This window comes from Homo sapiens, chromosome 4 (genome assembly GCF_000001405.40).
Source record: "Homo sapiens chromosome 4, GRCh38.p14 Primary Assembly".
NCBI classification, from domain to species: Eukaryota; Metazoa; Chordata; class Mammalia; order Primates; family Hominidae; genus Homo; species Homo sapiens.
In genome coordinates, this window is record NC_000004.12 from 172,118,780 (window position 1) to 172,144,960 (window position 26,181).

General features: G+C 34.2%; 1 protein-coding gene and 1 long non-coding RNA gene across 4 annotated transcripts in view; one reads left to right on the plus strand and one right to left on the minus strand.

Annotated features, from left to right (window-relative positions):
• GALNTL6 (polypeptide N-acetylgalactosaminyltransferase like 6) overlaps positions 1–26,181 on the plus strand; it is a 1,228,156-nt gene that overhangs the window by 305,376 nt on the left and 896,599 nt on the right. The window lies entirely within an intron of this gene.
• On the minus strand, positions 946–3,837 carry LOC124900811 (uncharacterized). The gene is made up of 2 exons (XR_007058363.1): positions 3,409–3,837; positions 946–3,012 (listed from the first exon to the last, which is right to left on the minus strand). It is a non-coding gene; the product is annotated as an uncharacterized LOC124900811 (long non-coding RNA).

The following is a 26,181-nucleotide window of genomic DNA, read 5'->3' on the forward strand; positions in this document are numbered from 1 at the left end:
TGGAGGAGAGCTGCTTTCCTTGATTTGTAAATTTCTAATAAGCAGTGATTTTTTTTTTCTTTTTTTGTGAACTGAAGCTACTCCTGAAATGAGAAATAGACAATGCTTCTAGCTTTTTTCCAGACTTTTAGACTTTCACTTGAACAGTAATTTCCTGTATGTGTGAGATACACAGATACATAGATAAAGCCTTTTTTTTTTGCAACTATCTCATCAAATCTCGTATTCACAATAAAGTTATTTCCATGTTGAGTACATGGTCTTAATAAAAATCGTGTTATGAAAGCATACAGTGGGTTGTGTAAGCAGTGTGTGAATATTGGTTTCAATATTACACTATTGTATTTCTTGATAATGCTAGAGAAAATGTAATTTGCAATGCATTTATATAAGGGCTAAAATAATTTGTGGCATCATTTTTATTGCGCATTCATGGCTCATATCAGTTTAAAGCTTAAAAAGCTGTATTTTTCTCCATTAAAAAGTTGTATCTCACTCTAACATTGCATTTCAGATTTATTTCAGTGCACTAATCATAGTAACAGAAATGCCACTTATTCTAACACATTTGAAAAAACTGAATGGACTCATTATTTGGTTATTATCAACTTTTAGTTCTGAATTCCTATGGGTTTTCATGCAATGCACTCTAGTACATTCAGAAACAGGAGAGAGGGTTATATTCAGGTAGAAGCAGTTTGGCTAATGTGTTGGATATTTTACAGCTATTTTCTTGGCCACGTTATAACATTCTGAAAAAAATCACAGAATCATCCATTTAACACCTCATTTTAGACTGTGCTGTGTTCTAACCAGAGGTCAGCAAACTTTTGCTGTGCAGGATCAGAGAGTAATGTTTTAAGTTTTGCAGACCATAAAGTCTCTTGATTCAACTCAGTCATTGTAACAAAAACAGTCATAAACAATGAAATGAAAGGACATGGCCATGTTCTATCAAATCTTTATTTACAAAATCAACCTGCAAGCTGCATGCCAACCTCTGTTCTGGACTCATGCATCACAAACTTCAATGTGCATAAAAATCTACAAAGATTCTCATTCAGTAAGGTCTGGTGAGGAGCCCAAGAATTTGAGTTTTGAACTGATTTTCTGTATGATTTAAGCTACATGACTTAAACATTGTGCACCTCATTTTCTATAGCTGTAAAAAGAGCTCAAGAGTTTCTTCCCTACCTGCTCAACACATTTTGTAAAAATTGAGCAGACTAATATATGTAAAATTTAATAAGTAGCATACAGAGTAAGAAACAAGCATTATGAAGACAACGTATTGAGGATTTCTTCCCACTTGACTACTTTTTCCCAGTTCTGTACACCAGAATCTCAATGGTGTAAGTCATAATAGAGCCATAATAGGGTCTATTTCAAATACCCTTCTTTCATAGTTTCCAAGAACATGTTAAAGATTTATTAGTTTCCAATTGTTGCTGTAACAAACTATCACAAACTTAGGAGCTTCAAACAACACAAATTTTTCCTCTCAAGTGCTGGGGGTCAGAAGTTTAAAATGAATCTTATGGGATTAAAACTAAGGTGCCAGCAGAACAGATTCCTTCTGGAATTTTGAAGGTGGTACCTGTTCCCTGCCTTTTCCAACATTAGTGGCTGCCCTCATTCTTTTACTCAGGGCCTCATATCACATAGCCTTTATCCCTTTTTTTTCTCATATAACTTTCTTTTATAAGGACCCTTGGATAATTCAGAATCATCTCTTCATCCCCATATCCTTGACTTGACCACATCTGCAAAGTTCTTTTTCCATGTAAAGTAACATATTGATAGGTTCTGGGTCCTAGGACATGGATATTTTTGGGGACCGTGATTCACCCTAACACACAAGAGTATGAACAAGGTAAAAATAAAGTCGGGGGGTGGGGTGGGGAATTGAGTTTTCCATAGAAAGAGAATGATAATGGACAGAACATAGAATTCTGAAACTTTCCTGTCAGAGTTGCCAATGTTTAGGGTCCTAGAGCAGAGAGGATAAGGTGTCCTTTAAGAGGAGGCTTTGTCGAAACCTGAACCAATAGCAGAAGGGTGAGATATGCCTAACTAAGTTGGAGAGTTTTTGGTCTCGGTGATAGGCAGGCCTAGTTTGCCTATAAAACTGAAAATGGGCTAATGAACATTGCAGCACCTTTTCCTCTAGGCAAAGTCCTCTAAGCCCTTCAGCCTTCTGTGTTTAGGTTGATTGTGTCAACCTTAATAACAGAGAGGGAGACTCTCTAAAAGAAAATGGTATGTATTTGAGAATCGGCATTGCAATGGGAATACACAGGCCATAGTAAACTATGTGCATATTCAGGAAGGTAAAAGAAGACAAAGCATTTTAAAGAAAAAATGAGAATTACATAATTATTTTGAGATAATTATACTTGGCGACAAAGATTAATAACAAGGGTGGCACAAGTCCAAGTTTGGACAGGCAGTTGCTTGGCAGATGTTCTCAAGAAGCATTGTGTGTGTGTGTGTGTGTGTGTGTGTGTGTGTGTGTGTAAGTTTGTAATTACATTTGCACAAGATTGTGGTTTTTGCAGTCTTCTGTGATAGTTTTTGTTATCAGGCATTCATATATAAGAACCCTCACTTCATGGCCTTCCCCAGCTCTATTTGTCAGGGTTTTAACACAAGTGACTCCATTTTGATTCTTACAGCTTTCAGACATTTCCTCCTTTTGATCAAGATCTTTACCCACAACCCACAAGCATTGATGATCAATTTCCTGTATTTAAGTTTTGATTGTCCCTTGGTGCCTAGATGAACCTGTCCTGGTTGGTCTGGTCTGGTCCCACATCAGAGACAGTAATTGATGAGTAAGTCAGTGTCAAAACTTTCTTATCTACATTTGAGCAATTTCAAAGGAGGTATGGAGGTAGTGGTTCTCAGGCTAGGTCTACCTGGGTCCATGGTAAGTTCAATATGTCTGTTCCACAGGTATTGATTATCATCTCAAAGTGCTAGGCCAACATTACTCTCATAGGGGTTGTACCTCTGGAAAAAATTAATGAGTAACAAGAACAAAAATTAAAAAGAAAAATACAAAGAAAAATTAATAGTGATATGATAATCTCAGTTTACATAATAGTTTGAGCTATAAACCTGGGCTTAAAGGAAACCAATTAAATAAATCAAATAATCATGGGAAATTAGGTGACACTTTTTTTTTTTTAACCACGTGGCCTATTTTCTTACTTTTTTTGTATATAGACCTCACCTTTCCCTGAGGGATTTGTCCAGATACAGCATGTAATGTTAGTAATAGCAAAGACATTTCCTTGTTTAACCAATAGATTACATAGAGCAATTTTATCATCTAGTATCCCATGACTAGGCTGAATTCGAGCAGAGCGTGAGCAATGGCTGTATGAGAAATATTGCCATACTCACCCACTAGGTAGACTAAAGCATCTCATAGCTCAGGTTCAGTCAAGTTACCAGCAGAAGCTACTGAATGTGAAATTTCAATTACACCATTATCCTGCCAAGTGTAAAAAGTAGGCGTTAAAAGGGGAAAGAGTCTCATTATGATATGGAGTCTTGTTCCAATGTCTTGGAAAAAAGCTATCTACAGCATGCAGCTATCAACTTATCATTCTAGTTTGCAGTTTGAATGTTTCTGGTTATGGCACCAGGCAGTTTGGTGAACTTTCTGTGTGACCCATACATCAGGCACGAAACTTACCTCTTAGAATTCATCTGGTTTCAGCTTATACAGCTTCAGTACAGACCAGTTCCCATTTTTAGTAATATTACGGAAGTGTTAATGGGAGGGGAATGGAGTTTATAACGAGCAAAAGACTATTCCTAGGCAAGTTATTAGAGGAGTACACATGCTCACTAGTGAGGAAAAGCCCCTAACTCAGTTATCTCCGGTTAGGGCTTACTAAGTCCCTTCTGGGTCAGAAGAGCCCAGCCACAAGGCCAAGTGCAGCCACTGTGGCCATGGTTCTCTTTTTGCTGACTGTCAGTATCTCCAAGGATTCTATCAATGGGCAGCATTTCTAAGATCTCTTTCCTGGGGGGAACCCTTACCTGCTCATGTCTGGCTATGTGCCTATTCTAACATAAAAAGGTTGGACTGGAGAAATCCAGAAGAATTCAGGATCTAGTCAGTTTATAGTAGGTAATAAGAACTCTAAAACAATGCCTAGGGCTAAAGTCTTATAACAGGTGTTTTATAGCTTTTCTTTAGAAACAAAACATTTTTCTCTTTACATTGATCAGACAAGAATCTCAGATGGAAAAATCTTTCCAGGCTTGGAAGCCAAACCAAGGCAGATTTCAGATTTTACCTTCAGTCTTGAAGTTTCTAGGACTGTCAGGAAGTGACAATTTTTATTCACTGACAGTAAGGTTTGGAACCCTTGAAGCTGGGCATTCTATGCTAGTTCTCAAAAAAGATATTCCAGTTAAGGCTTTGTTTTATAATTAATGCTTCCGATTGTATCATTTTCTAAAGAGACAGCAAAATTTTATTAAACTTATACAAATAAACATATTACCACAAGAATACCCACACATAGTTTCCAAATTTCAGAGGGATCAAATAGAGAGAAAAAGTAAATGTTTCCACCTTTATTCACAAAAACAGACTTTACCAAATTGCTGTATTAACTACGATAGCTTAAAAGAAAAAGTTTTCTTAAATTTGGAAAATAAAACATTTAAGTTAAGAATCAATAGTTTCAAAAAAGTCATAATTTTTTTTTTTTTTTTTTTTGAGATGGAGTCTCACTCTGTCGCCAGGCTGGAGTGCAGTGGCACAATCTCGGCTCACTGCAACCTCCATCTCCAGGGTTCTAGTGATTCTCCTGCCTCAGCCTCCCAAGTAGCTGGGATTACAGACGTGTGCCACCATGCCCAGCTAATTTTTGTATTTTTAGTAGAGATGGGTTTCACCATGTTGGCCAGGATGGTCTTGATCTCTTGACCTCGTGATCCACCCACCTCAGCCTCCCAAAGTGCTGGGATTACAGGCATGAGCCACTGTGCCTGGCCTCATAAAATTTTTATCTTCATCAGTTAATTAATCTCTGTAATTAATTTTTGTTCAGCTTGATATTGTTTGGAAGTTTCTCAAATTGGTCAGGTTCATCATTTCAGAAATTTTTAGAGTTCTAAGAATTTTTTATGTCATCCTTTGACCTTAAAGTTACTAGAAACCTACACTTAAGAGTACTTCTTAGTCTTTTACATGCATCTGAAGGAAGTGCTTTTAGAGAAAAATCAAAACTGTAGATGACAGAGACAGATGAGCCATAGTTAAAAATCTGATGGAAGTTTGTTATAATCAGCAATTGACAAGAAAATTTGGTTATTTTTGTAATATACAACATAATAACCAGAATTATGTCTGATGCCATATTAGGTTTCTAAACCTTTTATGCAATTTTGGATTATCCATATCAATAACATACCCATAAATGTAATTGAAAGAATAACTAGCATCACTTACCATTTGACAATGTTTCCTACATAATTCACCAAATTAATGTAATGATCTAATATCTCTATAGGACAAGAGTTCCATTTTTTGAGGCTCTCTCAAGGCCCAGCTGAAAAATCCCAAAGTTAGTTCTAGGTCAAAAAGACTTAGAATTTTGATACTGAGGAAGCTCATCAAAGATGCCAAAAGGTTCAAAACACTTCATCAAAACAGGACTGCAGGTAACTGTGAAATAATAGTATTTCTTTAACCAGGGTGATAATCAAAATAAATAAAGTACATGACTGTAAAAGCAAAATAAAACAAATTTAACTTTTTCAAAGTTCAGCTTTCCTAAGTTATCAAAAAATCTAATAAAGGCAACAAAGGAAATTATCTTGATAAAACATGAAATCCTTGTTTCGTAGGCCTGTTACCAAAAAAGAAAAAAACAAATCTACTGAAGAGTGATTGCTTCTCCTTAAAGAAAACTCTTTTAGGTAAACTGGAAAGTAAACCTAGTACTTAAATTTAATCAGATGTAGTAAGACAGTGTACAAGGTTATGATTGTACAACATAATACACAGGAATGTAAACAGAAAATTAGGACCTTGAGCAAGGGAATACATGGCTCTTAGTAACAGCATGGGAAGTTTCCTGGTTACATGAAAAAAAAAATTAGACACATCAAGAAATGCCAAGAGCACAGAATGAATTTATGCTTGAGGAAAACTTTGCTTTTTTAGGCCTTCAAGAAAGAACATTTCAGCATCAGGCCATAACAGCAGAGTTAAGACCGAAGAAAAAATTATGAGAGCTGATGAAAAAGTTGAAGGAAAGAGTTATGAGCACAGCCAAGCAAAAAGATGTACCTTCTCAAGGGGAGAAAGAGGAAGAACAAAAGGCAATGATGTATGACCTGCAAATCACATAAAGTTAGATAAAGCAAAAGTTGAACTTCTGAGATAGAAACTTGAGAAGCTTCAAGAGGAAAAATCTACCTCAAGAAATGAAATAATCTAAATAAAGACAGAATTTTCAATCTAAATCCAGAAAAATTAAATAAATCTCAGGAAGAAATATGGCACAAATAGAAACTGTAAAACAGGAAGAAGCTGCAGTTTAGAAGATGGTTGAATGGTTGAAATTTTTTTTAAACATATTTCGGAATTAAACCAAAACCTAGCAAATTTTACTAAGAGCAAACACTTCAAGAAACCTTATTGTTTGAACACAAGGAACCAAATTGTTAGTTTTGTATCAGTGTATTTTTAATACCAAAGCTCAGTCTTTAGAAAGACACACAAATAATTCTCTTACAATTATAGCCAACCTGATCACACACAAATTTCCATCATAAATTCATCTTTCACAAACCTTCCATCACTTATTCAGACATTCCATGACATGAGCAGAACTTCAGCTTTGTCCTACACTTCCTCTTTCTTACATAACCAGTCATTTGACTTTAGGACAAAAATTTACCACATAAGATTCTTTCTCATAAAAAAATTATTATTTTTTTGTTTTTAATCTACCTTACCAAAAATGCATTTTCATATGTATAACTTTCTTCATATGTCTTTGTTCTACTAACTGGTTCCTCTCCATCATGTTTCTACTTACTTCCTTCTAAGTCCATATTTTGATACAAACTTTTAATAACCTCTGAATTTAGACAAAATTATTCTTTAGTTCAGTAAAGAACATATTTTTATTTCCTTCTTATACTTTCTCTTATCAAAAACATCTTTTTGGGTCACTTTCTATACAGTATTATATATACACATTAGAATTTTTAACACTTAAAAACTTCTTTTCTAGTGAAAACCTAGGAAGCAATAAATTTTGCACTGTGTCACTTATCAGTATTATCTAGATAAGAACCATTTTATAATTTTTTAGAAACATGCTTCCCTGTAACATAATTATGTGAATTAATAGACTCAAATATATATAGTTTTTCTATAAAACTTAAGAAGTCAATAACAAATGTATGCTTACATTTAGAAATTTTTGTTTTAGCATTTTTTTCTTATTTGGAAGTGACTTAGACATTTAATGAGTATCTATCACTTAATTTAAAATAACATAACTTTAGACTTTCAAACTTCAATTAGCGATTCAAGATGGCTGACTACAGGCATCCGGTACTTGCCTCCTCCACAAAGTAGAACCAAAATAGCAAACAGGTAATCACACTCTGAGTAGATCAACTAATACAGAACACCGGCGTTCAATAGAGAAGTGACAGGAAACACCTGAAGTGTAAGGGACACGAGGAACACAGTGCAGCTTGCTCAGCAAGGATCAGCTGGCAGCCTGGAGCGGCTCCCCAGTGTGGGCAAAGGGTAAGTGAGTGACCCCAGTGGTTCACATTCCCACCAGAGACTCACATCATAGCCATAGAAAAGCCCCTAGACCCTCGGAGTCCCTGAGACTAACATAGGAGGCTGCTTGGAGACCACACAAAGGCATTGCTCAAGAGAGGGAGCTCACACTGGGTTTCACACAATCTCAGCCCAAAGCAGGTACAGCCATATTGAAAGCCCAGCCCCCACCAGAAGGTACCCTAACTGGGGTCCCAACAGTCCCTGCATCTCCATATTTCTGAAACCTCATTGACATTCCCTACCCACAGCCACCACCATAGCTGGCTGGCTGCTACCTCCAGGGCTAAAATGTGAGCCGTTGGCAATGACCCCGCTGTCCTCAGCAGGAAGCCACCACACATTTTCACGTGCCTCAAGGAAGCCGCCAAACATTTTCACATGCCTCAAGGACAAGCTTACCTGCCCCAGCCAGGGCTGAAATGTGACTGAAGTAATACTCCCCAGTCACCTGCATATGACTGCTGCTTCTGAAAGTAACCCCATTCTCCCCAATAGCAGGGCCGCAGTGCAGCCACTGCCACCCCTACTCAAGCATTCTGATGTGGGCCTGGAGATTACCTTGAGCCTGCCTACTACAGCCAGTGCCTGTTCACAGCATGTAGGGGCCTGAAGTCAGGCTTTCCTAGCCTGGCTCTACCCCTCAGTACGCGGCCACTCCATCTGAGAGCCTGGGAACTACCCAGCTCAGTCCACCATTGTTGACACCTGAGTATTGCTACTGGGGCCCAAGGTTGGGCCCATCCAGCCTGCCACTACCACCATAGCAGGCACAGGCCCACATGCAACAGCCGCAGGCTGGGGACTGGTGCATTCGGCCCATCACAGCCACTGCCAACACCAGCACAGACCACTTGGGACTCAGAGGTTATTTTACATGTACCTAATTTAGCTTTAACAATCATACTTGGATTACTTATGAAAACTAAGATATTAGGCTAAGCTAGTCATCATTTCAAGTTATTTCTCTGATAACTCTTTTTCTAGCTTATGATTATCAGGTGATCACCTAAGTAAGAATCTGAAGTATATGGGTATTTTGCCAATAACTCATAAGATATAGTTGTTTTTATTAAACCAATACTATGAAATTGGTCTTATTTATCGAAGTGTTATACAAACAAAAATCATCCTGTTTTTAGGCTTGGTTTATAGTTTCATGATTTTAAAACATTTATCAGGGACATACATAAAAGTGTCTAAGGTCCGGGCGTGGTGGCTCAAGCCTGAAATCCCAGCACTTCGGGAGGCCAAGGTGAGTGGATAGCCTGAGGTCAGGGGTTTGAGGCCAGCCTGACCAACATGGTAAAACCCCGTCTCTACTTAAAAAATACAAAAACTAGCTGGTCATGGTGGTGGGCGCCTGTAATCCCAGCTACTCTGGAGACTGAGGCAGGAGAATCGCTTGAACTTGGGGGTGAAGGTTGCAGTGCACCGAGATGGTGCCATTGCATATCAGCCTGGACGACAGAACAAGATTCCGTCTCAAAAAAAGAAAAAAAAAGTGTCTAAACAGTAAACTCAGGCAAAAATGTACAGTGACAATTCTGAAGATATTTCAATTTTTATTTTGACAAATTTTAAAACAGCTTACTGATCAAAGATGCTTCAGTCATGGAAATTAAAAGGCATTTAGGCTAATTGCTATATTTTTTAATATGAGCACTCATTTATCTAAACCAACCTGTATAGGATCCCTTAAGGAGTTTTGAGCTGACTATGCCAGATTTTACCATGTAGATAAAACATACAAGAGGCATAAACATATATATAAAAATTTAAATAAAGATCCTATAGATTTCCTTTTAGAATTTTAATCATGAGACAGTAAAACATAATAATATAAACTCTTCAGTTTATAACAGACAATTAGAGCTGAATTATATTTCTGATAATACAGGAACTGTTTACGTGGCTAAAATTTTGCCCTGATAGGTAATGTAATGAAGGTTGTGGACCATAATTTTGAGTAAAGTAATTTGGTTTAAAACAATTATTTTATCTTTTTTCCTCTGTTTTGAGTTTTTAATGAGTTTCAGTGTTAAATTTCTAAATATTTACACTTTAGTTAGGACTGGCTATTTTTCTTTTGTTATAAGAAAAACAAAACATCCAAGCGGCCTTGGATTTTTAATAACCAATCTTTTTGTTTGTTGTTTGCCAGTCTGGTTGTTTGACTAGTGTCAATGCAGGGCAGGATGCTTTTAAGAAAAATATTTGCAGGCTTTTTTCCCCCTCTCCTATGTGGCAGGGAAAGTAATCTTTATGCCCAACAGTAATACCTTATGTTATGGCTCTGAGCTCAAGATTTTGGCCTGTTTGATTTGAAGGCCTAACCTTTATAAACTTTTATCTAGTTATTTCCTTTTAGAATTAATCCTTTGATTAATTGTTTCATCATGCTAAGCAATTGTTAGTCTAGCTTAATTTAAGTTCACATTTCCAAAGGTGTCTAGATTGTTGGTTGCTAAGGAGCTGTTGTAATTTGTAAAGTCATTAATTTGAAAGCCCTTTAAGACTCTTATCTCTTATTTTGGTTTGAAATGCCCTAAGAAAAACTTCTAAGTGGCTTTTGAAATTAGCAGCATTACATTATCTTAATACAAATAAAAACGTCAACAGATTCAGAGTAAGTAGAAAAAAATATACAGGCAGAAAACTTAGACAGCTCTACATGTTAACTGTATAGTTGGTTGCACTTTCTAATTCAGTTCTAAGAGAAAAACAACTTGGGGAGTGCAAACGAACCCCATGATGGCATTGATTTTAAAACATGCATGAGGAAACTCCACATTGGTGGCTAGAGTCCCAAACAGCTTGGCATGCCTTAAAGTTTGAGAATCCTATTTCATTTTTTAATTTATCTCTCAAGATCATGCCCACCATTTAAAATGTTGGGCGTTTATTCCTTTCAGAACATGATCAGAAACAAGCAAGATAAAAAACAGCCAAATCATTTACAGATGCACGCATCCAAACCAAAATAAAATCAGAGTGCTCACAAAAATGTTAACCCAGGCATACAGATCGAACAAAATATTAAACATGTGTGGAGACCCAAAAGTAAATTTGACAGAAGAGACATGCCTCACAGAGAGAATGTAGATTCTGTAGGATCCAAAATACTCAAACCACAAGAACATTTGTCTTTAGTCTCAAATAAAGTAAAAAAAGAACTTGCCAAAGTAAGAGTCCTAGAATCCAAGAGGAGATACACAGTGGGCTCAGTTGATACCACACTCCATTCCAGGGGTTGCCAATTTGTCTGAGGGGATCTCATTTTGGTCCTGCCTCTGGCACCATGATCCCAACCTAAATAACAAAGAGGAAGACATTCTAAGAGAAAATTATATTTATTCAAGGATAGGCACTGCAATGGGAATACACACGGCAAAGTAAACTATGTGTGTGTTCAGGAAAGTAAGGGAACACAGAGGATTTTAAAGGAAAACAATGAGAATTACATCATTGTTTTGAGGTAATTATTCTTGGTTACAAGGATCAATAGCAAGGTGGGTGCCAGTCAGGTTGGACAGGCAGTTGTTGGGTAGATCTCATTACAGAATTTTTTTTTTTTTTTTTTTTTAGCATAAGATTGTGATGGCCTTTGTCCAAGGTTGTGGTTTCCAGGCTTTTGTAATATTGATGTAACATAGCATTCAAATATGGCTTATAAATACGGAATCCTTTATAATTTAAGTTTAATATAATTACTTTATTCCAGGATTCAGGCCAAGAATCATTTCTTAATTTTCCAGGTAATCTGTAAAAAGATAATTAAAAGTGCCTATATTTTTGTTCATACTGGTCTCATCTATAAAATTGATCACTGAAAAAAATTGTAAGTGCTAAGTATACAAAAAAATTATATATAGAAGCAAGATTTATGATATATTTGTTTCTAATTGTAAAATATTTTCTTTCTACTGTGAGGTTTCAAAGTAATTAAAACAAACTTAACAGAAAATATTTGTAAAGTTAACATATAATATTAACAATCTGTTTTTTCAGCCCATGAACTGACAATATAGGTGTAAATTGTGCCATTTGTTGTTAGAAACTGTTAGGTTTTAAAATAAATTTAATCACATGATTTTTAACATGAAAATTACCGCAGTTTTATAGAACAGAAATTGAAAATATGAAATGAATGCATTTGGTTCTTTTTGTCTAAAACAAATCATTCTCAAATAGAAATATAATATAATTAAATTTTTAAAAATGGAGGGAATTGAACTCCATAAAGAGATATTTCATTACACATTGGGCATCCTTGTAGCCTATGTGAGTTTTTGGCCACTATCCCTGTATTTCTATGCACCCTCTATCTACTCCTTTCATGAGTATACCTCATGTAATATTTTAAGTTGAAACAACATTGCTTATTTTATCTGGAGATCTTGAAGATGAGTAAACTTTTTTATTTGTTATATTTAGCCAATCCTAAAAGTGTTCTATTACACTAGAAAAACAAACATATTTTTACAACCTTTGGGCTTTTGTCAAAGAAGATTTAATTTTAAAGAAAATATATGTAAGTACTGGGGCATCATTTAAAACAAACAAGAAATCTCTTCCTTTGTGTAAATAATTATAAGTAAGTACTGGGGCATCATTTAAAACAAATACGAAATCTCTTCCTTTTTGTAAATAATTATAACTAGTAAAAGATTAATTCAACTGACTGAAAGAAAATATGAGGATCATATTTAAAATGAAAAAACAGTATTTACTTATGGTTCATTTTGTTTAAAACACTTTCATCTTCCATGTTTCACCATGCCTTTAAAATATATATATATATATATATATACACACACACACACGCATATATATTTTATATATATTACATATGTATACATGTATATATATACATATATATTTTATATATGTGTGCATATATATACACACACACACATATGTGTTTGTGTGTGTATGCTTTTATTCATGTTGGAATTCATGCTGTCTGCTTCTTTCCTGTGCTCTTTTGTCAGTGTTTTCCTGACTCTCAGAATGCAAAATCTGCTTCATTTTTACCACAGAATCTCAGATTTCATCTAGGTAGCATGTAATTTATATTTAGCTGTAGATTCTTTGGGTGTGTTTTCTTACAGAGTAGATGATAAATTCCTTGGGAGTAGAGATTGTTTGAGTTTTTGATGCTTCTCCAGGGCACTGACTTACTACACTGTTCATTGCACACACTAGATGCATAGATTTATGTTTACTTTAACACTGGTCAACCATGTAAAATTGACATCAGATATTATGACTGATGGATAAGTACTGTTCTTCTCATGGCAGAGAATCAATGAGACAGCTCTCCTGTTTTGTAGAGCAAAGCTCTTATAAAATAGTATATATTATTCTTCAGAGTATTTATTGAGCACTTAAAATTTTTTGTTTGAAATGGATAGAAAAAAGAAAACAAAAGATGATTTTAAGAGAATAACTCAAAAATCTTGGAAGAGATATTTTATTTTGATCCTAATGCATACAAGATTAACTCAGCCCATCTGGTTATACAAAAACACAAACAGTTTCTTCATTAAGTTTGAAATTTTGAGCTATCCAGGATTTGCTTTATCTCTAACAGTCTGTGCAGTGCCAAATGTTGATATCTCATTTCCTTGACTGTGATTAAATTTTCTTTATATCAGTGGTGTAGTATTTGAAAACACCCAATTTAATAATATCTTTGTCATATATTTTTATTTTTTGAACACATGAATTTTGTATTTCCAATGTGATTTAGATGACATTTTGTTTCTATCACCAAAAAATCATCTTTTCCAACAGCAGTTCAACTCTGAGATTGGAAATACTTTAAGCCTCAACATTGTCAATTTTGGCTCTTTGTCATTTTCCTCAATAGGGTTACTTTATTAATTTCAGGGACCTTAAATATTGTGGTATGTATGAGTGTGCACGTGTGCATGTACCTGTGCCTGCATGTGTGTTTTTCTATTCTCCCATGTCCATTACTTAAATATATGTTATTACTTCATGTTGAATTTGTCTTATAAACAAAGCCAAAAAACTCTATTTGTGTTTTTACTAGATATAAGCCATATTCTTTAGATGAATCATATTGGAACCTTTCAGTGTTTTTATGAATGCAGTGTTTAAAACAGCTAAACATCTATCTAAAAATGTTCCTCTTTGAGATTTGAAGAAAAAAATCTTACTCTTATGAATCTATCTCTCATAATATTGCCATCTGATCCTTTAAGTATCTTTTTTCCCCTAATCAAATTTCAAAAGTCATGTTGTCACCTCTAAAATATAGAAACTGGGACATTTTCTGCCTTCATTTATAAATATTTATATGTCAGTGTCTACTTAGTGTTTGCTTTAATTCATCTAATTTTGTGTGTGCATGATAGAAACTACTTACAGGATTTTCCACTGAAAATTACAAATGAATGACTTAACTGAGAAATGCACTTTCAAGTGACTAATGAACCAAGCAAACAAATAGCAGAAAGAACATCAATGTGCTTATTCTCAAATCTTCAGCAATTCTGGGCTGTCCATTAGATCGTTAGTTAAGCACAGCAACACATACAAATATAAATTAGCCTGAACTCCAGTTTTTCTCCCTTAAGTATGTGGCTAACTTGCTAGTTGGGTAAGATAATGAGGTCATGATCCAGGAACTATGAATAGAGAATCCATAGAACTGGTTCTGCGTACATTAGTATAAACCAATCTACATAGTTGCACATTTCAAGTTGTTCCATCTATGTAGAAATTAGATTATTGGGATTTGGAAGTAATAAATAGATTATTCATTGTTGATTCATTTCAACATATTTATTGAGCATCTAAACTGAGTGAGGAAAATTGGTTTAAAGCATAGCTGGCTCTCAAATATTCTATTGTGTAGTGAAAAACAAAAAGACAGGTAAACAAATACTATGAAACACTCTTGGGTTTGTGTTGAAACTATGGTGGATATCAATGAATGCAAAAGCATCTCCTGTGCTGCAGCCTGATTTGTATGGGGTTGAGATAAGCAGTGGAAAGTGTACAGCACGGGTGACCAACTGAACTGAGGTTTGGATAACCAGGGCTTCTTTAGTCAGTATCATGGATAGAGAACCAGGATTCTAGTACATGCACTTACTATGTTCAAAGCTGCAGAAGCATGGAAAGGCATGGCATATAATAAAAGCTATAAAATGGCCATACACAGGTGACTGCTGAGAAGTAGAGAGCAATGTATTTGGACAAAGTCTCAAAGATCACATGATAAATTATCTGATTCTCTACTAGCAGATGCAGATTTTTCTTGAAGAAAATGTAGAAGAAAATGAGCAATGTTAAAGAAGGTAGTCACATATTGAGTGTTTTGTTTGTATGAAAAAAATTCTGACAAGTCCTCAGAAAATTAGTTGACTGAAGAATGAGATCACATTAGGAAACTTTCTATGGTAAGCTTGTTTAAGCAATTATGAGGGTATGGATTAAGATAGTAACAGTGGCCGGGCGCAATGGCTCACACCTGTAATCCCAGCACTTTGGGAGGCCGAGGCGGGCAGATCACGAGGTCAGGAGGTCGAGACCATCCTGGCTAACTCGGTGAAACCCCATCTCTACTAAAACAATACAAAAAATTAGCTGGGCATGGTGGCGGGCGCCTGTAGTCCCAGCTACTCGGGAGGCTGAGGCAGGAGAATGGCATGAACCTGGGAGGCGGAGTTTGCAGTGAGCCGAGATCACTCCACTGCACTCCAGCCTGGGCAACAGAGCGAGACTCCTCTAAAAAAAAAAAAGGTAGTAACAGTGGACATGAGAAAATGAACTGGATTAGGAAAACATGGTTTATTCATCTTAATGACCTACTGGATAAAGATATAAGAAAAATAGGAATGTAGAATGGTTTCAACCTTTATATTAAACAACTGGGTAGAAGAGGGTATTTTATAACATGAGAAACATGATTGGAAGGGAGACTGGAGACAATGATAAATTAAATTTTGGACATGCTGCAGATGAAATATATGACATAATTAAGAAAAGTTGAAATCTGGAGTATGGAGTCAGAGTGATTAGTCAGATATTCATCAACTGTATTAGTCAAGAGAGACTAACGGTTGTAACAAATAGCTACCATATTTGAGTCATGTAACACAGTAAAGTTTATTTCCTGCTGATACAATAGCAGAGCAGAGATGGTCCTACCCAAAGCATTAAATAAACAAAGATTTCTTCCATCATGTGGCTTGTCCCTCCTCTGAGTCTTGGTCTTTGGCGTGTAAATGAAGAAAAATGTCACAAATGGCATGTTGGTAGATCACATTCACTCACATTCCATGTTCAGAATCCAGTGCCCCAGCCGCACCTAACTACAAAGAGGGCTGGACAATGTAGTCTAGGTGCATGCCTACTTTTTTACTAAACAGTGAGATCATTTATGATGAGACCTCATTTGACTCTTTCAAATTTACCATCCATTGCTTCTTAGCAGTCATCTAAGTGCCAGCTTTTCTAAAGAGAAAAACGTGGATATTGGGGAGCTTTTATAACAATAATTATAACTTAAATATTATAAGCTATACTTATAATTTTGATATATTAGTTTTTATTTTTAAACAACTCAATTTTCAGATTAGTGAAATTTTCCAGAAAATTATGTATTCTTGAAAATTAAATAAATTAATTCTGCAGAACACTGAAGTTCTTTAAAATCCATGGAATCCCCAGCCCTGGATGCTGTACTGGATTCATCTTCAAGACACTGATGACACATCCAGGACCCATAAAAGGAACTCTGTACTTAGGAAAAAGAGAGAGAGAGAGAGAGAGAAAGAGAGAGAGTTGCCACATAACCTTTGCTCTTAAGCTTAAATAAAAGCAATAACAAATTCTCCTCTACTAATTGAGAATTAGTAGAATTCTCAATTGAGAATTGAGAAGCAAACTTCTACCAGTTCATAGTTAGCGTCCTTCAGGGCTTCAATTGGCTATTGCAATAATTTTACCATTTAACATACGTTAATGCTTTCCGACATAGATTTTGCAAATATCAAGGTATTCTCTGGCAGTGAGGTTACATACATAAGATTTTTCAAATCACTGAGAAAATTTAAATCACAGTTTCATTTTGAGGGGAGATACATTACAAAATAGTAAAAATACAATAATAATCAATATATGAGAAAAATTTAATGATATTTGTTAATGATATGCAAACTTCTTGATCAAGCACCCTAAATATCACATTCCTCTCACACTGAGTACATGCATTTGGAAGTTGAAACACTAGTTTTAATTGCATAAGTTAAAAGTCATTAATTCTGTTTCTCTTTAAAAATTTTTAAAAGACAGAGATACCAATTTCTATTTTAAAAATAATGAAGTAACCTCAAATGCTTTGAGGACCTATCAAAGTCCACTTCTTGTTTTTAGTTAGGAAATAATTTCAGTTTCTAATGCTTAGCTGTGCGTTCTATAGCCAGACTCATACAAAAGTTTCAATAAAATGATATTTCATTGAACACTGTGAATGAGAGATAAATTTCATAGTTTAGCTTCATACTTTTATAATTCAAACAAGCCTCACATTATTGAAGTCAGTAGACTCTATATTACCTTTACCTTGAAAATCTGAAACTATTTGATATTTCAGACTGGATATGGGACTTTGTAAAATTGGATTAAATCTAGATCACATTGAAAAATGCCTTCTATCAAAAAAAAGAAAAACCTTAAGTGATTTATCTTTTTTCATCTTTTATTTTTTATGTGTAACTTATTTATTGATTATAAAACTCTGTTCAATTTTTTAAAAACATACCTGGGCATTAGTCTCCTCATATGTAAAAGAATGTATAGTCTGGCCTATTTAGTCTCAATGATCCCCTTTAATCCCACAGATTCATAATTTAATATTTATTTTTCTCCATGACCTTGAAAGCGATCTAAAGATCAGAAAATGTTTAAAATGTGTTTGTTTCCCCACGTTGCAGCTTGATGGCATCAGATTTTGTGGTGATATGCCTATTTAAATTTTGAAAATGTTAATTTAGTTTATTTTATATATTAAATTATTTTATAATTGAGAAAAATTATGATCATATAGAATACTTGCATATAATTATGCACAGCTCCATATACATAGATTGTACAAGGTAACTGACTATAGAATGAGTAAGATCATTTTCATGCTAGTTTTAGTCATTTTCACTCAATAAAATATTTACTAAAAAATACCAACCATGCAAAGAAAGAGTCAAGCTACGATTTTTATTATGTAAAACAAAGACCCCATAGCAATTAAAAGTAAATAATTAGTCCCCGAAAAACAAAGCCTGCTTATTCTTACCTTTCCTATTAGCCATGGAATTACCTTTATTTTCTTTCTATATTAACTAACTCCCATATACCCCTTTTTAATGGACACAAAATTTTATTATGAATGTGTTAACAGAAGTCTTTATATGATCCATTTAGATTTCTCATTCATAGAGAGCATTTAGTCTTAGAGACTAGAATAAATGAATTTGGGAGTAATAATTCTTATATGTCATTATTGACTGTTTTTTGTTATTGATACATTAGGAACAATTAATACTTATATAAATTTAATACACCTATGATTGCTTTTGTATTTTCTTCTTTTTAACTTTGTAAAAGGAGGATACTGACTCTGAGAGAAGGAAAGTAGTTTTGGTATTTTCAATTATATTTTGAAGCTATATATACACTTTACACTCTACATAAATGCAGGGGAAATGCTATTTAAGAATATTATCAAAAACATTGTATATAAATTTAATCTCACAAAGGTGTACAAGATTGGAATATGGTAATAGTTTCTTCTTCAGTTAACAGATAAATTGACTGAAAGTTTATTTGCAGACATTTTGCCTGAGCCAAACAAATGACGTCTATTTAGAGAAGAAATCAGAAGAGTAAAATCCATGACCTGAATGGAGAGAAGCCACAGAATGAAAGGGACATAGTGAACATGTTAGTAAAAGATTTGCCAACAGACTTTAGAAAACAAAACAAGAAAAAAAGCCAAAAAACTACAGGCAGACAGATGAAGGGTAGGTAAGAAACCACAATGGATTCAATGTGTTCTGTGATATTTGAGCTCTTTCCCTGAATTTTCTCCCTAGTTGGATGAGAATCTACTCATTCAAATTGATTACAACTTTGAGCAACTGCAAGAACAGAGAGGCAGGTGCAAGTTATGAAAGAATCTGGTCTTTGAAATCACTATGCCATAGAATAGGAAATCCAGTGATTTTACAAAGGCTTGAATTGTCTTTCTTTAGGCTACCAAATAGTAAGCCAGCTGCATTTGGTACAGAGTAGTGATTGCCGAAAGCTTTGGCAACTGAGAAAACACCAACCTACAGTGATTTGGTGGTGTTGCCATGAGCAGATGAGCTGCTGCGGAGTCCTGATAAAGTTGATTACATATTTTGCAATATAATATTGATGAAATAGGTTCTAAAAGCATTTGAAAATATCAGCTTTAGCAGCACAAACCATTCTAAAACCTCCCAAATGAACGGAATTATGATTGGTTGAAAAAACTTATAACTTGTTCAGCTCAGTTCTCTTTATATTTTATTTGTAAAATGAAGCTAAATGATAGACTATACAGATTATTATGAATTACGCAGACCCACAGGAATATTCAAATCCTGTCTCTCAATGATTTTATCATACTTGATATTTTAGGTGTTACATGTTATTATATTACTCCTTTTTGCATTTTTGTCCTTTGCATTTCGTTTTATCGAGGTTCATTAGTCTATTGCTTTCCTTCATTTTCCTTTTTTTTTGCCAACTATCTCAGAGTCAAATTTGATGTCTAATTATATTAATTTACTTGGACTGCCTATATATATATATATATATATATATATATATATATATTTTTTTTTTTTTTTTTTTTTTTTTTTTTTTTTTGAGACGCAATCTCGCTCTGTCGCTCAGGCTAGAGTGCAGTGGCGCGATCTCGGCTCACTGCCAGCTCCACCTCCCGGGTTCACGCCATTCTCCTGCCTCAGCCTCCCGAGTAGCTGCGACTACAGGTGCCTGCCACCACGCCCGGCTAATTTTTTGTATTTTTAGTAGAGATGGGGTTTCACCCTGTTAGCCAGGATGGTTTCGATCTCCTGACCTCATGATCTGCCCGCCTCGGCCTCCCAAAGTGCTGGGATTACAGGCTAAATAATTGTTATCTTTATTCCTGGCTACCCTGTGTTATTTTATACTTAATTTCTAAGTTGTCTCTCATTTTTTTGTAATAAGAAAAGTTTATAAATTATTTCTTCCTCTACTAAAGTGATTGTATGAAATTCTCAGAACCAATATTTCCTCTAACATATACTTTTAAAAGTAAATCTATCTTGTATATAACCGAAGAGATAGATCAATCGATCAGCAATGATTTGGAAGGGAAAGGTGGCAGACAAAAGGAACAGAAAAATTAACTGTTACTTAGTGGGAACTAGCTTGATGTGTTCCAGGAATTTTATAAGGCCACTGTGCTAGACCTTATTGAGCAAGTGGAGAAAAGTATATAAGTTTGGAAAATCATACTGGACCTATAGGATCTTATAGGTCATGGTAATTTGAGTTTTATTCTTAGTTTGGTGATTGCTCACTGTTTATGCCCTTAAAAATGTTAAAGTGCTTCCTTTAAAGAGGAAAAGTACATTGAATATACTTTTTAAAAATTGATTGATCAAAAATAAAATTTCAGACAAATGCATAGGTTTTTAAATATTTTAGAATAATTTGACAAACACCTAGATGTTTACACAATTCTAGAATTTTAACAGAACTGTTGAAAAACCCAAGGCTTAAGTCAGTTAGGGAGAGAATTATATCTCACAGCCAAGAGTGTTAAATACTGAGCCCTAAACTGGGGTATTAATGTAACCTTAGTTCCTGATAGATGTAATTAATATAATCCCAATTCCAGGATGAAATCCTTTATATTCTAGAATATAGTTGTTCAGGTGTGAAATTGATGAATGTTTTTGCTGAGAGTTGGGCCGTCTGTAGTACTTTCTTCCAACATACTTGTGCCTTCCAGGCAAATTTGAAAATTTTAGTAAGTATATTTCTTCAAAGGATTGAATTCTGCCCTTTTAGAAATAGATCATGTCCCCCTCACGGGAAGCAACTACCCTGTTCTTTACACAAATATATTTTCACTTATTTTTTTAAAAACATTTCCAAGACCTAATTTTTAAAGCCACTTTGTTGTCATTCTGATTACTCAGAAATATTGCATTTCTTTACTGTGTTAATACCAAAAAAACTTTCCTATCAAGTTTTCTTAAAATGTGTATATTGTACTCCATATATATTAGGTGTTCAACAAGTACTTATTAACATTGTTTAAATAGTCTTTTTTTTTTTATTACATGCACTTTCCAAATTGTGAACTCTGAAAACAGACCATTAGTTCTATTGTATGTACTCTGAGGGTGTTTAGCACAAATTTCTGCTCTCATAATCCCAACAAACCTCATACCAATTTGTTGTATCACAACTGATATCAGAAAATTCGTTACATTTCTTTATGCCCAAATATTTCCATACTTAAAATTACCTAGCCTTTTTGCAGCTACATGTTGCAGAAAAAGGTGTCATGCACAAGGTCATGTTTTACCTTTAGGCTACATTCAGCAAGAAAATGAATTTATAAAATATAGTACTCAGGAGAACAGATATATGGTATTTTGTAAGACATCCAGAAATTTAGTATACTATTAAATTCCTCTCACAGATAATATCAGAAATTCTAATAGTCTACAAAAGTCTTGTTTTTATTTAACAAACATCTATATAGCATTTACTTTGTGCCAGTCATTGTTCTAAGGGCTTAATAAATATCAGCGCATTTAATCCTCATATACCTTCTGACATAGGTATCACTATTTTCTCCATTTTCCACACAAGAACATTGAACTGAAGAGATGAAATTTTCTCAAGGTCACAACTAGTAAATATACAGTATAGGATTTAAGGACAGGAACGCTGTCTCCAGAAATGTTCTCAACTGTTATGTTAGTCTCACTAACTCTAAATCTGCATCAAGAAAAGCCTGCCTTCAAATTTTGTATGTATTCACTAGATTGAATATTTAATACATAAGAAGAAGAAATTGAATCGAGAGCAAAGACCATAAGAGGTTAAAGCCTGAACTGACAGGAGTTTACTTGGCAAGGGAAATTTGTTTGTTTTCTATCAAGTATCATTGGCACTCAGGATTAAAAGGAGGAAAGGGCTAATAGTAAAAAGTAATGTATGAATATTCTATGTCATTACCAAAAATATAAAAGAAACCTAGCAACCTCCTGTTAATGGTATGAAAGGATAAAGGTGTAGCAAGTCCTTCTGGCTTCTGTGTCAATTATGTACCATTTATTACAAACCTATTCATAATTTTAATTTGATTAATCTTTGCCCTTTATGTAAATTAAATTAGCTTTAGGGAACCAAAGAAAAATAATTTTATGTAGTGTTACTTTGATGCCTTACAGCTGAGACAAGGTATGGATGGAAATCCTAGAGAGAGAGCAGAAAAGCTTTTTCAGTGTGCTGGATAGTAAGTGTTTAAGTGTCAGCAAAAACACACATCCTGTTCTTAGATTTTTCCATCAATTCGAAGCAAGCACTCTATTAGTTGCTGGGAAACAGAAATAAATTAAACACAACCTGTTTCTTTCAAGAATCTCTCAATCTGTTGAGGAAGGCAGGCAAAATACAGAAATAACATTTACAATACAATGTGATATACATTCTGTGCCCAATCCGTCATTTGTCAGATGGTACGAGTACAAATTCAGACAAAAGTTTAGTTTGATTCATATTTTATTTTAACAACATTGATTATTTTAAGCATATAATGAGTAATTAGTTTAAGTCAACTCAAGGTAAAAATAAGCAACTTGCTGTTGAACTAAGTAACTAAGAATACTCCTTATTTTAATATTTTAAACTCGTCAATTAAAAGAAAATTGCTTAGCTAAAAAAAAATTCTGCCAGTATAAAAGGACAACAAAAGAGGATGGCAGAATTGAAGTTCTAGAGCTAATCAGGTGTCAGTTGAAATTGAAGAAAAAAATTAAAAATGAAAAAGATGACAAAGCCAAGTGAAGCCAAAATGTGTGACTAGAGACATTGGGAGTTCCCAGCAAAGAAGTACTAACTTGCTATTTAACACTTCTATCTGATAGCTGATAATAAGCTATGACTGATAGGACTAATGACAAGAACACACACAAACACACACACACACACACACACACACACACCCCCCACACTCATTCCTGAAATAAAGATAGGATAAACAAAGCAAAACTGAGAAAAATAACATGTCATAGATTTGCTGAAAGAATCAGTGTACACACACAAAAATTTGTTTTTAGTTCTAGTGGCACACTTCCTAGATTTATTCTTCAGAAAAAACTAGAAAGATGGATTTTCTTATGGTCTCTGGTACACCGTTATTTTGTTTATATTCTAAATTATAGAAATAAATATTGTAATATGAAATAATTTATCTACATGGCTTATAAAAAGCATGGTTTATTTTAAAAAATATATAGATACCAAATGCAAAGCCACTTACATGACTAGAAACAACTGAAGCACATAACATCTTTGAGTACACGTCATGCTGTTATAATTTGAAGTTTTGTGCAGTCCTTAAACATTCAGACTTTCTGATCTTGCAAAGGTCTACATGCATATCATAGTATATGAAGAATTTAATAAACATAAAAGTCACTGCTTCCTCCACCATATTGCACTTGATTGCAATCAGCATGTTACAGCCACAGTCTAATTATAAAACGTCAAATGTTTCATCAGCTTTTCTAGCATAGCTCTGTGCTGCATCTGTGGTCACTGGCCCATTGAACATAAATTTTAACTCCTTTTATGTTCAATTGGAATCTGAATTACACAGTTGATGCTAAACTATACCAGAATTAAAACTCCCTTGAAGATAACTTGTCTGATGAACTATTTTCAGGAACGTGATTTTCCAAACATTTCTTGCATTACTCATACCAATGAGTAATACTTTTGAAAAAGTAATTCTGCCTGTCTTAGAATTTCTAGAATTCTAGAAATTCTAAGGCATTAGAGAACAAAATAAAGGTTACAATGAGTTCATATTCTTTATTACTCTCAAAAATAATTATTTGAATAGACAAGAAATGGTTAACCAGGGGGAGTGGATTTTTGTATACATTAACAGAAAATACATTGAATACTATGGAGAGTTTTCTTTTTCTCCTGTTGCCCTATTCTACATTTTTAGAGACAACTGTTTTTATAAATTGGTTATGAACATATCCAATTCAGATATTCTCATATTTAATGTATGTATGTATGGATAGATAGATAGATAGACAGATAGATAGATAATGTCAATTCATTTAACAAGCATTTACTGGCTGCCTATTGCATGTTGGATACTGGAGAAATAGCAAGAAAATCAATCAAGTCCCTGTATTTAGGGTGCTTTATGAGGGTGTCCAAATCTACTTAGGTGGTTGGTTAGTGACTGTTGTTACTATGTGGCTGGTATATTTGCTTTTCTTTCTTTTTCTTTTATTTTTCCTAAGTAATTTCAACTTAAGTTTATCTCTTATAAGCTATATGGGTTTTATGTTTATATAGGAAATCTATCTTTTGATTTGTCTATTACTTTTAAATAAAATTCTATTTTAACTTTTATTATGTTTAAACATTTGAATTTTTAAATTATATTTTAAACTTTTTATTTGATTTCTTTGTCTTTGATTCATCTTCATTATTTTCCCTAGTAGATTTCCTTCCTTGTTTCTTTTTTGCCATCTGTGTGTTTGGTAGGTTTGAGGATTTTTGTTTTGTTTTGTTTTTTGTTTTACCTTTTTTGCACCATACTAACTTTGAAGTTGAATTTCTATTTTTATTGCAATGCTTACTCTTGTATTTTTAGAATATGTATCTAAAACATCTAAAGTAATAAATATTGTTATCTGCCTTCCCCAAATTTAAAATTTACAGCCACATTGACTATCGTAATTTACTGCCTGCCCCCCATTCATGAAGTCTTATCTTGTGTTTTAGTTCCTTTTTTGTTTCTGGTTACCATGAGTCATCTTATTTTTATAGTCAATACTTACTTAGATAGAACGTTTTCCTCACAGTAGTTCATATCTTCAAGTGGAGCATCATTTTTGTTATCTTATCTTCTTTTTTTCCCTTGGGGCTTCCATAGGTCTAAGGTTGGGAATTTATCCCTATAGTAGTTTATAATTTGCCCTTTCTGGAGGACCTGGATTTTATCTGTTATAAATAAATTTGTTTGTTAATTTTCTCAAGAGTCCTATATTATGGCAATAACCAGAACAACTCTGACCTGCAACTCTGCACTATTAGTTTAGTACTATCTCTCTATACACATTGTTCCTTATGACTCTGGGATGGCTGTTATTTCTCCATGACTTCAGGGGAATACAAGCCAGTAGATAAAGGGCTCCCCTTCCAATTATCAGGAGCTCCACTACTCTCACAGTGATTAGGAGAAGCGTGTTGTTGTTGAATATTACTTGCATTATCAGGTTTCTGAAGTAAATTGGTGGCTGGAAGTATTCTGTCTTAAAGTTTGATGTAAATAGAAATAAAATAATTAAATAATGGCATCTGGTTTTAGTTATCCCTATAAGTAGAATTGTACCGAATTTACCAGCTGATAATTTACTAAATCCAGGTTCCAGTTTCATTTCTACTACTATGTAACTCTGAAAACTTGATTGAGTTACTCAATGTTTCTGAGCACCATTTCTAGGAAATAAAAATTGTATCCAAAAAATCAGGAAAAAATGGAGAAATTTTCCCCAGTCTGATATAGTTACATGATAAAATCATATTGTCACAGAGTTTTATATGAGAGGGAGCTAGAAGTCATCTTATGATAGTCTTTCATTTACTAGGTGAATATTGTGAAGTTCTATGAAGCTGAAGGATCTGCTCAAATGTTAGTGAAAAAGTGAGGACTATCATTTTATCTTTTCTAAATCTTAGTATGGTAGTCTTTCCTCTGTACTGTTGTTTCCCATCTTAAAAGCAATTCATCATAATGTGTACAAAATTATAATGTCAAACCTTCATTGAGCATTATTTGTCCCTGCAGAGCTAACCCCTTGTTTTGCAAATGCATACATGCTTATAGGTACCTACTATGCAAATTACATGCAGTAAAATTCCAATTCCCTGTAAGAATTAAGTACACAATTTTCATTTTGTGTTAAATGAAACTCTAGTATTCTATATGGCATTTCTTTAGTGGATTTAAGTCTTATGGAAAT